The following is a 16,243-nucleotide window of genomic DNA, read 5'->3' as shown; positions in this document are numbered from 1 at the left end:
GAACAATGAGAACACATGGACACAGGAAGGGGAACATCACACTCTGGGGACTGTTGTGGGGTGGGGGGAGGGGGGAGGGATAGCATTGGGAGATATACCTAATGCTAGATAATGAGTTAGTGGGTGCAGCGCACCAGCATGGCACATGTATACATATGTAACTAACCTGCACATTGTGCACATGTACCCTAAAACTTAAAGTATAATAATAATAAATTTAAAAAAAAAATTTATAGCCAGTTTCTAGGATAAAGTCATATTTATAATTTTCTGTCCAGATTTTTAATAAAAATCAGTAATGTTAAATGGAACACTATCACTTTATAGAGAAATATTATGAAATTATATTGAGAAATGAGAATAGTCATTAAACATTAAGATTTTATTGCAACCCAGGCATTATATATTTCTTTACACTTAAGGAATAGATATTAAACAACCTTGGAGTAAAAAATAGAAGGCGACTTGCTTCAAGTTTGTACCAAGTCGATCAAGCAGAAACCTGAAGAACCTTGTTTTAAGATGAGAGGCATTTATACTCGGCAAGCATTTTCTTCTAATGAAAAAATAAAGTCAATGTGCCACTATCTTGACACTTATAAAAATGTTTATAAAAAGCATTTAGGACATTGATTCTCACAGTTGGCTGAATACTGGAATCACCTAGATTAAAAGAAATACTAATCCCTAGACAACATCCCTAAAATTCAGATTTAATTAGTATAAGTTAGGCCCTGGGCATATAGGCTGTTTTAAAACTCCTCGGGTGAGTCTAATGTGCACCAATTTGAAAACCACTAGCTTAGAGACCTGTTCCATCATCATAGAAGTCAGTCTTAGGCTGAATGATTCTATATGCCCTGATTGCAGTAGGTAATGTTGTTATTTTAAGCATCTGATAGGTGTATCTCCCTTGATTAAAAATAAATACCTTACAGAAGAGATTATATGTTTTATTTATCACTGTCTCCGCATATCTGGAACAATGAAAGGCACATAGCAGTTGCTAAATAAGTATCTTTTAAATGAATATATGATTGCCTTATACTTCTTTTACGTCCCCATCTTCTAATAGATTATGCAAATTAGAATTCAAAACATATATATATTAAACAAATGAATGACTGAAGCAGTTGGGGATAATATTTAAGGCAAAACCAAATCTGATAAAATATACACATATTTTAAAAACACATACATATATATAAATAGATCAAAAGTGGAAAAAGAATATACAAAAGAGTGCAACATTTGGCAGCTGAGAATTATCTCACTGAGTTTTCAAATATTCTTCACATTCTTATACTTAGAAACAAAGAAGTAACCCCAAACAACTAATTCATTAGCTAATATCTCAGAACTTGCACATATGCAGATAAATTTTCTTTTAAAAACAGAATTATAGTTTAATCTTGATGAACATAGCTCAATTTTGAAAATTCAAGCAAATAAAATTTTAGCACATATCATGATAGCCTTACTGGATAGCTGTGTTAAAAACAAAAAGTATTTGGTATCACCTATTGTTACGTGTTCTCAGTTGAGATCTAGTTAGTCTCCTAGGAGTCTCACATTGATAAACAACTATTTTGGTACTTCCTTACATAATGTGCTTATTTAGAAATACCTTATTAATAACAGACTTCCTTTTGATTAGCTACATTCTCAGATATGGCTTCATTTATCAAAGTTCCACAAGTATTACATAATTTTTAATTCAGTTAGTATCTTAGACTACAAAACTTTGGTTTTCTTAAAATCAGCATTGGTTGCTTGATTGTAGGTTTGTCACCAAAAAGTGCTGCTTCAATCTCCGTGGTTGGAAATCTTTTCTGATATATCAAGGGGTATTCCTTCTGAAACTGTTTTAGTTTTTTTCTTTTCTCCTTTAGAGGTAAACTCTTGTTTTTAATAACATTTTCTATAAGTTCTGTAACTGCAGCTTGAGAGGTAGAAACTTTTTGCTTTTCAAAGTCCTGAGCACTAATCTGCTTACAGTATGAATAAGTTGGCAAAGGAACAAATAGTCCATCTCCAGGATTTTCAATATGTCCCTTTTTTAAGTATTCAAGATGTTTTTCCACTGCAGTCTGTAAATAAGTTGGTACTTGAAGAATTTCCTGATGATGATCCAGTAAGAAAGAAACTAATCTTCCAGCCAGAAGCTTATCAAGATCCACTTTTTCAGCACAGCATAGCACACATCGAGAAAAGGTATGTATCATCGGTGATTTCATGCCCATTGCATCATGAAGTTTGGACATATCAACATTTTGACTCATTTGGGAAATCATACGCATTAAAAGTTGAAGCTTTCTACAATTTGGTGGCGGAAGTAACAAACGACACAATTGTAGCGCATCGATGGCAACCCTCTCTAAATGAGGTTGCAGCAAACTTCGTGTACCAGTCAACACAGAAGAAGCTGGAAGTAAAGAATTTTCTGAAAATTCTATTGAACTTTTGCAGAGTCTTTTATTGATTGCAGCACTAGACTCTCCGAGTTCACTTTGCATAGCTGTTTGCACACTTGTGCTGCTTTGTCCAACATTTGGTTTCATGATCATTTCAGCCACTGGTGTGTTGATACAACTATTCCTTCTTGTACTACTTCTTAAAAGCAAACTCTGAGACCTACAAAGCTGTTTTGACTTGCATTTCCCATTACACAACTCCTCTTGGTCTTGAGCAGTCAAAGTAGTGGTTCTCTTAAAACCAGCACGGAATGGCTTTTGAATATTTTCCTCTGAATGAAGATTCAACAGGAATTCCTGTTTGGGCTTAGACTCTAAAAACAGTTTAGTATTTTGTCCTTCTATGTTTGGAAAAGATTGATGCCTCTTTACACTGGATGCCTCTTTACTTGAATTCCCTGACACATCTACAATTCCTTCCAAAGAACAGCAACTTGGTTTGCTATTAGAGGACAGATCATGCATACCACTTAACCCTATTAAATTATGACAGCTTCCTCCCATTATGTCATTAGCACTCACTCCTCTGTTTCTTAAATTAACTAGCTGCATTTTCTTAGCACATCTTTCTTGAAATCCTGGATTGCTTATCCGTAGTCTCTCAGTAGAATCTTATTCTTCTTTTTTCTCTATGAAGCAGACTGAGAAGAAGGCACTCCATTGATTTGAAGGAATTCAAATTGTGAAGGAATTTTTAAGACTGTGGATCATCTTGGATTCTATGTATCCCACTGGATCTATCTGAAACTATGACATAGCCACAAACAACCAAAATGTTCACAAATAATTCATAATATTCAAAAGTAAGGAGAGGTTCAAGGAGATCTAGAAAATAATCTGTGATTGTGCTGAATATATCTTGTTCAAATCCAACATAAGTTGGATTATTCGTATCATCACTTCTTGGCCAATTTGCTAGGCACTTCATGGCAGATAATACCCAGTGAGGGAGGTCATCTGATTTGTTTTGTAGTGTAACTACTCCATGTTTACTTGTATTGGCCATGTTGTACATTATATATTGGGGAATTACTTGTTTTGGATTTATGACTTCTTCTAGGGATGGCACACCTAAAATGGTTTGCAGGTAGATCAGAATAACATATCTCCAAATTTCTTCAACATCTTCCTGGCTTAGTTTTCTATTATCAACTGCATTTTCTTGATCTTCATTGATTATTTCATGCTTTATTTTCTCGGAATTTTCCTGAGATAAATGTAATCCATGCTTTTTAGGAGTTCTATGAGATAAGTTTCATCATTTAAAAATACTATCTTTATCTTTGGAAAAGTTCTCTATGTTGTTTTTTCTCAATTCTGGATGTCTTCGTGGCAGAGTTTTAAATGGCTAAGTTGCAGGAAATCTGAAGAGCTGGTTAGTACCATCAACATTTTCTGATCCCCACCTGCCTTTGATATCTTCAATTACATGATTCTTAAGAAATTTCCTCAACAGTTGGATAGTCTGTTGTCTTGTAACTTTAGGACCAAAACTGTTATTATTTCTTAATAGGTCATAAAGCCAATCCACTGCTTCTCCTGCTGTGAAACAACTGCCATATTTTTTAAAGTGTTGTCTGTGTTTTCTTAGAGGCATTCCTGCTCGAAAAGATGTGGTAATTTCATTCCATAAGTAGCAGAATCCATGTAAGATCGCCATACCAGGAAGATCTGAATTCTAGCTCTGCCACTTGCTGTAGATGTGTCTTTAGAAGGATTTAACGTCTGTGAGCCTCAGTGTCCACACTGGTAAAGTAGGACGAATAATACATGCCCGCCTGAAGGGCATTCCAGTTTGGTGGCCAGATAAGGCCTGGGAGGCACACCCCAACTCTCCATAGGTCTGTCAGTGCCCACTGGCGTCCATGGCAGCGAAGGCAACACTCAGGCCCAGCGGCCTGGGCAGTGGCGAGTCTCAGCACAACCACTGGCCCTGCCGCCGATTTGAATAGCATCTGCTAAAGAATTTTTTTAAAGTGGTTCTGATAAAGTTGTGCCCCGTACCATACCTTGGGAAACACTGCTGTTGGTTATACCTAAAAATAGAGTTAACAAGTCACAAGATACGTGGATCTTCAACCTTGTCAGATATTGCCAAACTGCTCTCCCAAGTTTTATTCCTGTTTATACTCCCTCCAAATCCCTTTAAAATAGTTTATACTCTTCATCTTCACTTTTTTATTCACCTCAATTGATTACAATCATTTTTCTATCCCTTACCAGTCCACTGAAATTGCTTTTACTAAGGTCACCAAGTATCTCTTAATTTCGAAACCCAACAGCCTCTTTTCAGTTTTAGTCATTCTTTACCGTTCCTTATGCTTTATTTCACAACAGCTCTATTTCACAATTACTCCTTTTACTGAGCAGCCAATAGATAACCCACACTTCTCAGTGTTTTTTCAAATAATTTTTATTTTTAAATATTTTTAAAATATTGGTGTAGATGTGTTGAAAAGGGAACACTTTTACACTGCTGGTGGGAATATAAACTAGTACAATCACTATGGAAAACAGTATGGAGATTCTTCAAAGAACTAAAAGTAGAACTACCATTTGATCCAGTAATCCCACAACTGGGTATCTCCACAAAGTAAAAGAAGTCATTATATGAAAAAGACACTTGCAAACTCATGTTTATAGCACAATTAGCAATTGCAAAAATATGGAACCAGCCTAAATGCCCATCAACCAACAAGTAGATAAAGAAAATGTGGTATGTATACACCATGGAATACTAATCAGCCATAAAAAGGAACAAAATAATAAAATAATGGCATTTGCAGCAACCTGGATGGAGTTGAAGACCATTATTCTAAGTGAAGTAACTCAGAAATGAAAAGCCAAATATCATATGTTCTCTATAAGTGGGAGCTAAGCTGTGAGGATGCAAGGGCATAAGAATGATACAATGAACTTTGAGGACTTGGGGGGAAGGGTGGGAGAGAGATGAAGGACAAAAGACTACACATTGGGTACAGTATACACCGCTCAGGTGACAGGTGTACCAAACTCAGAAATTAGCACTAAAGAACTTATCCATGTAACCAAAAAAACACCTGTCCCCCAAAAACTATTGAAATAAAATTTAAAAGATAAAAAAATCATTATGATTATCAAATATATTATCAGTATCAGTAAAATCTAAATGGGATTTAGGCAAATGAATTAGTTAAAAATGAATATTCTATTTAGAAACTGGTGGATATACTTTATAATTAGGAAAATGTTGAGAAATATTATAAGAGATGTTCAACATTGTACGTTTTCCTATTTTTAAATATCTTTATTATTATTACATTGCAGTATGGTGTTTAAGTTTGGGTGTTAAAATACAGAACTTTACATCCAGCAACAATTGTAAGAAAAATTATCATTTTTATTCCACAAATTAGACTATGAACAAAAATTGATGCTGTAACTCAAGAAAATGTAAGATACCAGTGCTATTTATTCTTACCAAACCCATAATACACATTCATTTTCTTTAAAGATTAAAGTTAGAAACTCAAAAATAATACAGCTCCCACCCATTCAGCAAACTAGGAGTAGAAGAAAACTTCCTACTCTGCTAAAAGTCATCTAGGAAAAACCCACAGCCAACATTATACTTAATAGTGAAATACCAAATGCTTTCTCCCTAAGATCAAGAAAAAGACAAGAATGCTCATTCTCTCCATTTCTATCAACACTATACTGAAGGTTCTAGCCAGGACAACTGGGCAAGAAAATTAAAGACATGCAGATTGAAAAGTAAAGAGTAAAATTATCTCTATCTGCAGATGCCATAATCCTGCATATAGAAAATCCTAAGGAATCTACCTTCTATTTTATTATTTATTTATTTGTTTTTTGAGACAGAGTCTGGCTCTGTTGCCCAGGCTAGAGTGCAATGGCGCGATCTCGGCTCACTGAAACCTCTGTTTTTGTATTTTTAGTAGATAGGATTTCACCATGTTGGCCAGACTGGTCTTGAACTCCTGACCTCTAGAGATCTGCCAACCTTGGCCTCCCAAAGTGCTAGGATTACAGGCATGATCCACCATGCTCAGCCAGGAATCTGCCTTTTAAAACATCTATTAGAACTAATAAATGAGTTCAGCAAGGTTGCAGGATACAAAATCAATATACAAATATCAATTGTATTTCTACATATTTGTAATAAACAGCCTGGAAGTGAAATTTTAAAACAATTGTATTTAGTATAAAATCAAAGAAGAATAAAATACTTAGGTATAAATTTAACAAAAAAAGTGTAAGACTTGTATATTGAAAACAAAGATGGCCCAACTAAATCAAAAGAACTCTTGTGTTAATGAATTGGAAACCTTATTGTTAAGATGGCAATTATTCTCAAGTCAATTTACAGATTTAAAGCAATCCCTATCAAAATAAGAGCTGGCTTCTTTGCAGAAACTGTGAAGTTGTTCCTAAAGTTCATATGGCAATGGTAGTGATCCAGAATAGTCAAACAATTCTGAAAAAGAACAACAAACTCAGAGGAGTCACACTTCTTTTTTATTATCTATTTTTCTTCATTCTTCAACTTTTATTTAACATCGGGGTACATGTACAGGATGTGCAGGTTTGTTACACAGGTAAATGTGTGTCATGATGGACTGCTGCACAGATCATCCCATCACACAGGTATTAAGCCCAGCATCCATTAGCTATTTTTCTGATGCTCTCCCTCCCTCCACCTCCCCGACAGGCCCTAGTGTGTGTTAGGGAGGAGTCTCTCCTTTTCAATATTTTGGACTAGATTCAGTAGAATGGTACCAGCAATTCTTTGTACCTCTGGTATAATTCAGCTGTGAATCCATCTGGTCCTGGGCTTTTTTTGGTTGGTAGGCTATGTATTACTGCCTCAATTTAAGAACTAATTACTGGTCTATCTGGAGATTCAACTTCTTCCTGGTTCAGTCTTGCAAGGGTGTATGTGTCCAGGAACTTATCCATTTCTTCTAGATTTTCTAGTTTATTTGCATAGAGGTGTTTCTAGTATTCTCTGCTTATAGTATATAGTACAGTATTCTCTATATAGATGGTTGTTTGTATTTCTGTGGGGTCAGTGTTATCATTTCTGATTGTGTTTATTTGATTCTTCTCTGTTTTTCTTTATTAGTCTAGCTAGTAGTCTATTTATAAACGTTTTCCAAAAACCAGCTCATGGATTTGTTGATTTTTTTGAAGGGCTTTTTGTGTCTCCATCTCCTTCAGTCCAACTCTGATCTTGATTATTTCTTGTCCTCTGCTAGCTTTGGGGTTTCCTCTTGGTTCTCTAGTTCTTTCAGTTGAGGTGATAGGTTGTTAACTTGAGATCTTTCTAGGTTTTTATGTGGGCATTTAGTGCTATAAATTTCCCTCTTAACACTGCCTTAGCTGCATCCCAGAGTTTCTGGTATGCTGTCTCTTTGTTCTCATTAGTTTCAAACAACTTCTTGATTTCTGCCTTAATTTCATTAATTACCCAAGAGTCGTTCAGGAGCAGGTTGTTCAATTTCCATGAAGTTGTCTGGTTTTGAGTGCATTTATTAGTCTTGAGTTCTAATTTGATCTGTGGTCTGAGAGACTGTTATTATTTCAGTTCTTTTACATTTGCTGAGGAGTGTTTTACTTCCAATTATGTGGTCAGTTTTATATTAAGTGCTGTGTGGCAATGAGAAGAATGTACATTCTGTTGCTTTTGAGTGGAGAGTTCCGTAGATATCTATCAGCTCTGCTTGATCCAGAGCTGAGGTCAGGTCCTGAATATCTCTGTTAATTTTCTGTCTCAATGATCTAATATTGTCAGTAGGGTGTTAAAGTCTCCCACTATTATTGTGTGGAAGTCTAGGTCCCTTTGTAGATCTCTAAGGACTTGCTTTATGAATCTGGGTGCTCCTGTATTGGGTTCATATATATTTAGAATCCTTTACCATTATGCAATGCACTTCTTTGTCTTTTTTTACCTTCATTAGTTTTAAAGTCTGTTTTGTCTGAAACTAGGATTGCAACCCTGCTTTTCTCTGTTTTCCATTTGCTTGGTAAATTTTCCTCCATCCCTTTATTTTGAGCCTATGTGTGTCTTTGCATGGAATATGGGTTTCTTGAAGACAGAATACTGATGGGTCTTGGCTCTTTATCCAGCCTGCCATTCTGTGTCTTTAAATTGGGGCCTCTAGCCCATTTATATTTAAGGTTAGTATTGTTGTTATGTAAATTTGATCCTATCATCATGATGCTAGCTGGTTATTTTGCAGACTTGTTTATATGGTTGCTTCATAGTGTCACTGGTCTGTGCTTCAGTGTGTTTTTGTAATGGCTGGTAATGGTTTTTCCTTTCCATATTTAGTGCTTCCTTCAGGAGCTCTTGCAAAGCAGGCCTGGTGGTCATGAATTCCCTCGGCATTTGCTTGTCTGAAAAGGATCTTATTTCTCCTTCAATTATGAAGCTTAGTTTGGCTGGATATGAAATTCTGGGTTGGAAATTCTTTTCTTTAAGAATATTGAATATTGGCCCCCAATCTCTTCTGGCTCGTAGGGTTTCCACTGAGAGGTCCACTGTTAGTCTGCTGGGTTTCCCTTTGATGGTGACCTGGTTTTTCTCTCTGGCTGCCCTTAACATTTTTTCTTTCATTTCGACCTTGGAGAATCTGATGATTATGTGTCTTGGGGTTGAACTTCTCATGGAGTATCTAACTGGGTTCCCTGGATTTCCTGAACTTGAATGTTGGCTTGTCTTGTTAGGTGGGGGAAGTTCTCCTGGATGATATCCTGAAGTATGTTTTCCAACTTGGTTCCATTCTCCTCGTCTCTTTCAAGTACTCCAATCATAGGTTCTGTCTCTTTACATAATCCCCTATTTCTCAGAGATTTTGTTCATTCTTTTTCATTATTTTTTCTCTATTTTTGTCTGCCTGTCTTATTTCAGAAAGATAGTCTTCAAGCTCTGAGCTGCTTTCCTCTGCTTCATGTATTCTGCTGTTGATACTCGTGATTGCATTGTGAAGTTCTCATGTTGTGTTTTCCAGTTCCATCAGGTCAATTATGTTCCTCTCTAAACTGGCTATTCTAGCTATCAGCTCCTTTATCGTTTTATCATGATTCTTAGCTTCTTTCCATTGGGTTAGAACATGCCCCTTTAGCTCAGTGAAGCTCATTATTACTCACCTTCTGAAGCCTACTTTTGTCAAGTCAGGCATCTCAGCCTCAGCCTAGTTCCATGCCCTTGCTGCAGAGATGTTGCAATCATTTTGGGGAGAAGAGGCACTCTGGCTTTTTGAGTTTTCACCATTTTTGCATTCTTTCTCATCTTTGTGGGCTTATCTACCTTTGATCTTTGAAGTTGCTGACTTCTGAATGGGGTTTTTGTGGGGCCTTTTTTGTTTATGTTGTTGTTGTTTTCTGTTTGTTTTTAACAGTCAGGCCAGTCTACCACAGGGTTGCTGCGGTTTGCTGAGGGTCCACTCCAGACCCTTGTTACCTTGGTTTTTCCCAAACCTGGAGGTATCATCAGTGATGGCTATGAAACAGCAAAGATGGCAGCCAGCTCCTTCCTCTGGAAGCTCTGCCCCAGGTGGGTTCTGACCTGCTGCCAGACCGAACACACCTGTAGGAGGTGGTTACAGATCCCTGTTGGGAGGTCTCACCCAGTCAGGAGGAACAGGATCAGGGACCCGCTTAAAAAAGCAGTCTGGCTGCTTTTTGGTAGAGGTGTGCTGCACTGGGGGAGACCTTCCTTGTCTGAACCATTTGGGCATTCCAAAGCCGGCAGCCTAGAATGGATGAGTCAACTGAGTCACAGAGATGGTGACTGCCCCTCCCTCTGGGAGCTCCATCCCAGGGAGAGATGGAGAACCCTGGCTGGAATGGATGAAGTCCCCGTAGGGAGGTCCTCTCCAGTGAAGAGGAATGGATCATGGCCCGGCTTAAAAAAACAGTCTGGTAATGATCTAGCAAAGCAGCTGTGCTGCATTGTGGGGAAACTCTTTCTCATCTGTAACATTTGTATTCTCCAAAGCCAGCAGACTACAGCAGCTGAGTCTACCAAACCACAAAAATGGCGGCCACTCCTCCCCCTGAGAGCTACGTCCCAATAGAACCCTTCTGAAGTGGCTAAAGGCCCCACAGGAAGGTCCTGCCCAGTGAGGAGGAATGAATCAGGGTCCTGCTTAAAGAAGCAGTCTGGCCATGATCTGCCAAGGCAGCTGTGCTGCATTGTGGGGGACCCTTCCTCATCTGGACTGTTTGTATTCTCCAAAGCTGGCAGGCTGGAACGGCTGAGTCTACCAAACTGCATAGATGCCAGCCGCCCCTCCCCCCAGGAACTCAAGACCTGTCTCAGACATATTCCAGCCTATTGCTGTTGGCAGGCTGGAACCCAAGCCAGTGGGTCTTAAATTATGAGATGCCATGGAAGTGGGGCCTGCAGCACAATGCTGCTTGGTTCCCTGGATTCAGCCCTCTTCCTAGGAATATGTACGGATGGATTTCCTCACTTGCTAAGGACTCCAGGGCCAGAGTATATAAACTCCTGGGTCTCTGTGTATGACTGAGCAGCTGCTCTGCCAAAACTCCACACAGCTGTGTGTATTGGACCCAAGACCCTGGTGGCATGGGCTCACGATGGGATTTCCTGATCTACGGGTCGCAAAGGTCCATGAGAAAAGCGTGGTTCCCTGGGCAAGGTTGCATAATCACTCACTGCTTCCCTTGGCTGGCAATGGGGGTTCCTTTGGCCCCATGCTGCTCCCAGGTGGGCCATGGTCCCCCACCCCACTGCTTTTCTTCCTTCTCCATGGGTTAAGCTGTCTGCCTAGACAGTCCCAATGCAAGAACTTGGCTATTTCAGTTGAAGGTGCTGAATTCACTTGCCCCTTTTCACTTCTCTCCATGAGTGCCATGGACCACAGCTGCTTCTAATCAGCCATCTTGGATCCTACCAGAGTCACACGTCTTGATTTCAAAACTAACTACAATGCTACAACAATTAAGACGTAATGGTAATAGCATAAGGACAGGCACACATATGGATGGAATAAAATTGAGAATCTAGAAATAAACCCTCAAATTTACAGTCAACTGATTTTTGACAAGATTGTAAAGGCAATTCACAAAGGAAAAGAACGGTTTTTACAATAAATAGTGCTCAGACAACTATATATCCACATGAGAAAACTTGGACTGTTCGTCATACCATACACAAAATTTAACTCAAAACAGATCATAAAAACTAAATACAAGAGCTAAAACTATAAAACTCTTGAAGAAAATATAGAGGTAAATCTTCATGACCTTAGATTTGGCAACGGTTTCTTAGCTATGACACACAAAGAATACATAATAAAAGAGAAAATAGGTAAATTGGACTCATAAAAAAAATGTGTGTTTTTTGTTTTTTGTTTTTTGAGACAGAGTCTTTCTCTGTTGCCCAGGCTTGAGTGCAGTGGCACAATCTCATCTCACTGCAGCCTCTGCCTCCCTGGTTCAAGTGATTCTACTGCCTCAGCCTCCTGAGTAGCTGGGATTACAGGCGCGCACAACTAATTTTTATATTTTTAGTAGAGATGGGGTTTCACCATGTTGGCTAGTCTGGTCTCAAACTCCTGACCTCAGGTGATCTGCCCACCTCAGCTTCCCAAAGTGCTGGGATTATAGGTGTGAGCCACTGTGCCCGGCCTTCAACAAAATTTTACCAGTTTGTGCTTCTAAGGGCACTATCAGTGAAAAAAAAAACTTACAGAATGGAAGAAAATATCTGCAAATCATTAAGTCTGGTAAGATTCTAGTATCCAAAATATGAAAAGAATTTTACAACTCAACACTAAAACAAAATATAAATTGAAAATGGGCAAATGATCTGACTAGATATTTTCCCAAAGAAGATATACAAATACCTAACAAGCACAAAAAAGATACTCAGATGTACATCAAAACCACAGTGAGATGCCACTTCACACCCACTAGGGTGGCTATAATAAAAAAGACAATAATATGCGCTAGTAATGGTGTGGTGAAATTGGAAATCTCACACATTGCTGGTGGGAATATAAAAAGATAAAGCCACTTTGGAAAACAATGCATCAGTTCCTCAAAAGGATAAACAGAATTAACATATGGCCTAAAAATTCCATTCACAGATGATATACTCAAGAGAAATGAATCACATGTCCACACAAAAATTTTTACATGAATGTTCACAGCTCATTATCCATATTAGCCAAAAAGTGACACAATCAAAATGTCCATCAACTGATGAATGGATAAATAAAATGGCCTATAGCTGGAAGTATTGGGGAAAATGTGAAATGACTTCTAAAGAATACGATGTTTCTTTTTGGAGTGATAAAAATGTTCTAATACTGATTTGTAGTGATAATTGCACAAATCCATGAATATACTAAAAAACTATTCAATTATACAGTTTAAGTGCATTGTATGATATGTGATATGGTTTGGCTCAAACCATACATCACTCATATCTCCACTCTCAAATCTCACCTTGAATTGTACAAGGGCGGGGCCAGATGAAGGTAACTGAATCATGAGGGTCTTTCCTGTGCTGTTCTTGGGATAGTAAGTCTCACGAAATCTGATGGTTTTATAAATGGGAGTTCCCCTGCACAAGCTCTCTTGCCTGCCACCATGTAAGATGTGCCTTTGCTCCTCCTCCACCTTCCACCATGATTGTGAAGCCTCCCCAGCCATGTGGAAATGTGAGTCCCTTAAACTTCTTTTTCTTTATAAATTACCCAGTATCAGGTATGTCTTTATTAGCAGCATGAGAACAGACTAACACAGTATGGAAAATATATCTCAATAAAGCTGTTAGAAAAAAATATACACGGCTCAACATTTGAGGACTGGAAGAGACTACATGTGAAGAGATTTTGCCTCCAATATTTGTTACCTGAATTACAGCCACAGATCATCTCCAATTCAGAGACTACTGAAACAAAAATAAATGATTCACACAGTGACTTCATTCTAAGACACATATTTATATAATCTATCCTGTTTTCCTTTTAAAAATCCTGTAGATAAGTTTTTAGCCAAAAATATCTAGTCTAAAACAGAGGTGGCCATAAAATTTTCTAGACTTAAATAATAATCTTATTACAAAATCAATTGTCTACTTGCGAATAGGGAACAATACTTAATCATGGTATGAACAGTCAGAATTAGCCTCATGATACAGCTGCAAACAAAATTCGTAAGATACATGAGATACAGTGACAGAAAGACATGCATCCTCTCCAATCCTCTCAACAATCATACAATGAAGATGAGAAAATCAGGATTCAGAGACATTAAGTGGCTTGCCTATTCAGGGACTAGGCAGCAAAACTGGGATTTGAACCCAAGACTGCCTGTCTCTAACCTATCTTCAGGAAGGAATAAAGCTTCCAACCAGGCAATAGTAATAGAAAAGAATGACTACAAATATGTCCTAATATAAAATATTTGAAATTTTAGAGCTTAAAGGAAATTCAGAGAATATCTATCTCAAGTGCCTCATTTTACAAATGAGACAGTATCATCTTCGCAGTCTCTGATCAGCCTTGGCTATTTCCACTACTCTGTCTTCTCCAATATACTACTAGGCTATCTGCCACTGTGTCCTGATAGCCCTAGCATAAAGCAAATGAGAAATCACAGAAAAGCTAAGTTTCAGAAAGTCATGGATGTGCTGAGTAAAGCTCCCCAAATTATTCCTCTTAGATAATAATAATAAATAAATGTTCCTCTTACTTGCCCAGCATGCAAAATTGTATCAAAGGGGAATAGTTATACAGGATTTGTAATAATTATAGGTACTTTGAATTCTTACCTTTGTGGCCACAATAAAGATGGTATAAAGGAACATAAGATTATGCTTTGATATTGCCAGATGCTGGGTGTGCTGGAATGTGAAGATAACTGACCCCAGCAGGGTTACCTTGGCAGGGCTGAAAATAAAACACATTTTAAATCAGCAAGTAATAAATATGACATATCTCTAACTTTCTCAAAGAGTGCACTGCAAAACATTAACTTAATGGGTTATTAATAGATGTAATGCAAAAATGAGTTTTGTTAAAACACTTTAAAAAGTGTTGAAAGTGCTGAGTTACAGGATTAAGAAACTCACTCAAAACTGCTCAAATACATGGAAACTGAACAACCTGCTCCTGAATGACTACTGGGTGCATAACAAAATGAAGGCAGAAATAAAGATGTTCTTTGAAACCAACGAGAACAACGACACAACATACCAGAATCTCTGGGACACATGTAAGGCAGTGTGTAGAGCGAAATTTATAGCACTAGGTGCCCACAAGAGAAAGCAGGAAAGATCTAAAATTGACACCCTAACATCACAATTAAAAGAACTAGAGAAGCAAGAGCAAACACATTCAAAAGCTAGCAGAAGGCAAGAAATAACTAAGATCAAAGCAGAACTGAAGGAGATAGAGACACAAAAAACCCTTCAAAAAATCAATGAATCCAGGAGCTGTTTTTTTGAAAAGATCAGCAAAATTGATAGACCGCTAGCAAGACTAATAAAGAAGAAAAGAGAGAAGACTCAAATAGACGCAATAAAAAATGATAAAGGGGATATCACCACCGATCCCACAGAAATACAAACTACCATCAGAGAATACTATAAACACCTCTACACAAATAAACTAGAAAATCTAGAAGAAATGGATAAATTCCTCGACACATACACTCTCCCAAGACTAAACCAGGAAGAAATTGAATCTCTGAATAGACCAATAACAGGCTCTGAAATTGAGGCAATAATTAATAGCTTACCAACCAAAAAAAGTCCAGGACCAGACGGATTCACAGCCAAATTCTACCAGAGGTACAAGGAGGAGCTGGTACCATTCCTTCTGAAACTATAGCAATCAATAGAAAAAGAGGGAATCCTCTCTAACTCATTTTATGAGGCCAGCATCATCCTGATACCAAAGCCTGGCAGAGACACAACCAAAAAAGAGAATTTTAGACCAATACCCCTGATGAACATCGATGCAAAAATTCTCAATAAAATACTGGCAAACCGAATCCAGCAGCACATCAAAAAGCTTATCCACCATGATCAAGTGGGCTTCGTCCCTGGGATGCAAGGCTGGTTCCACAAACGCAAATCAATAAGCATAATCCAGCATATAAACAGAACCAATGACAAAAACCACGATTATCTCAATAGATGCAGAAAAAGCCTTTGACAAAATTCAACAGCCCTTCATGCTAATAACTTTCAATAAATTAGGTACTGATGGGACGCATCTCAAAATAATAAGAGCTATTTATGACAAACCCACAGCCAATATCATACTGAATGGGCAAAAACTGGAAGCATTCCCTGTGAAAACTGGCACAAGACAGGGATGCCCTCTCTCACCACTCCTATTCAACATAGTGTTGGAAGTTCTGGCCAGGGCAATCAGGCAGGAGAAAGAAATAAAGAGTATTCAGTTAGGAAAAGAGGAAGTCAAATTGTCCTTGTTTGCAGATGACATGATTGTATATTTAGAAAACGCCATCGTCTCAGCCCAAAATCTCCTTAAGCTGATAAGCAACTTCAGCAAAGTCTCAGGATACAAAATCAATGTGCAAAAATCACGAGCATTCTTATACACCAATAACAGACAAATAGAGAGCCAAATCATGAGTGAACTCCCATTCACAATTGCTTCAAAGAGAATAAAATACCTAGGAATCCCACTTATAAGGGATGTGAAGGACCTCTTCAAGGAGAACTACAAACCACTGCTCAATGAAATAAAAGAGGATAC

General features: G+C 37.9%; 1 protein-coding gene and 1 pseudogene across 4 annotated transcripts in view; both read right to left on the bottom strand.

Moving 5' to 3' along the window:
- The window catches only part of TMEM38B (transmembrane protein 38B), an 82,089-nt gene that overhangs the window by 14,153 nt on the left and 51,693 nt on the right, over positions 1-16,243 (bottom strand). For 3 of the 4 annotated variants that reach the window (NM_018112.3, XM_011518832.4, XM_005252075.3), the window contains one exon: positions 14,287-14,404. In NM_018112.3, the coding sequence (NP_060582.1) occupies positions 14,287-14,404 (118 nt within the window). Of the gene's footprint in view, positions 1-13,365; positions 13,402-14,286; positions 14,405-16,243 lie in introns of those variants that run through there. The other variant, XM_011518831.3, reaches the window with a different exon arrangement.
- DEPDC1P2 (DEP domain containing 1 pseudogene 2) lies at positions 672-4,396 on the bottom strand (annotated as a pseudogene).

This window comes from Homo sapiens, chromosome 9 (assembly GCF_000001405.40).
Source record: "Homo sapiens chromosome 9, GRCh38.p14 Primary Assembly".
NCBI classification, from domain to species: Eukaryota; Metazoa; Chordata; class Mammalia; order Primates; family Hominidae; genus Homo; species Homo sapiens.
This window is presented reverse-complemented; position numbering and strand designations above follow the sequence as displayed.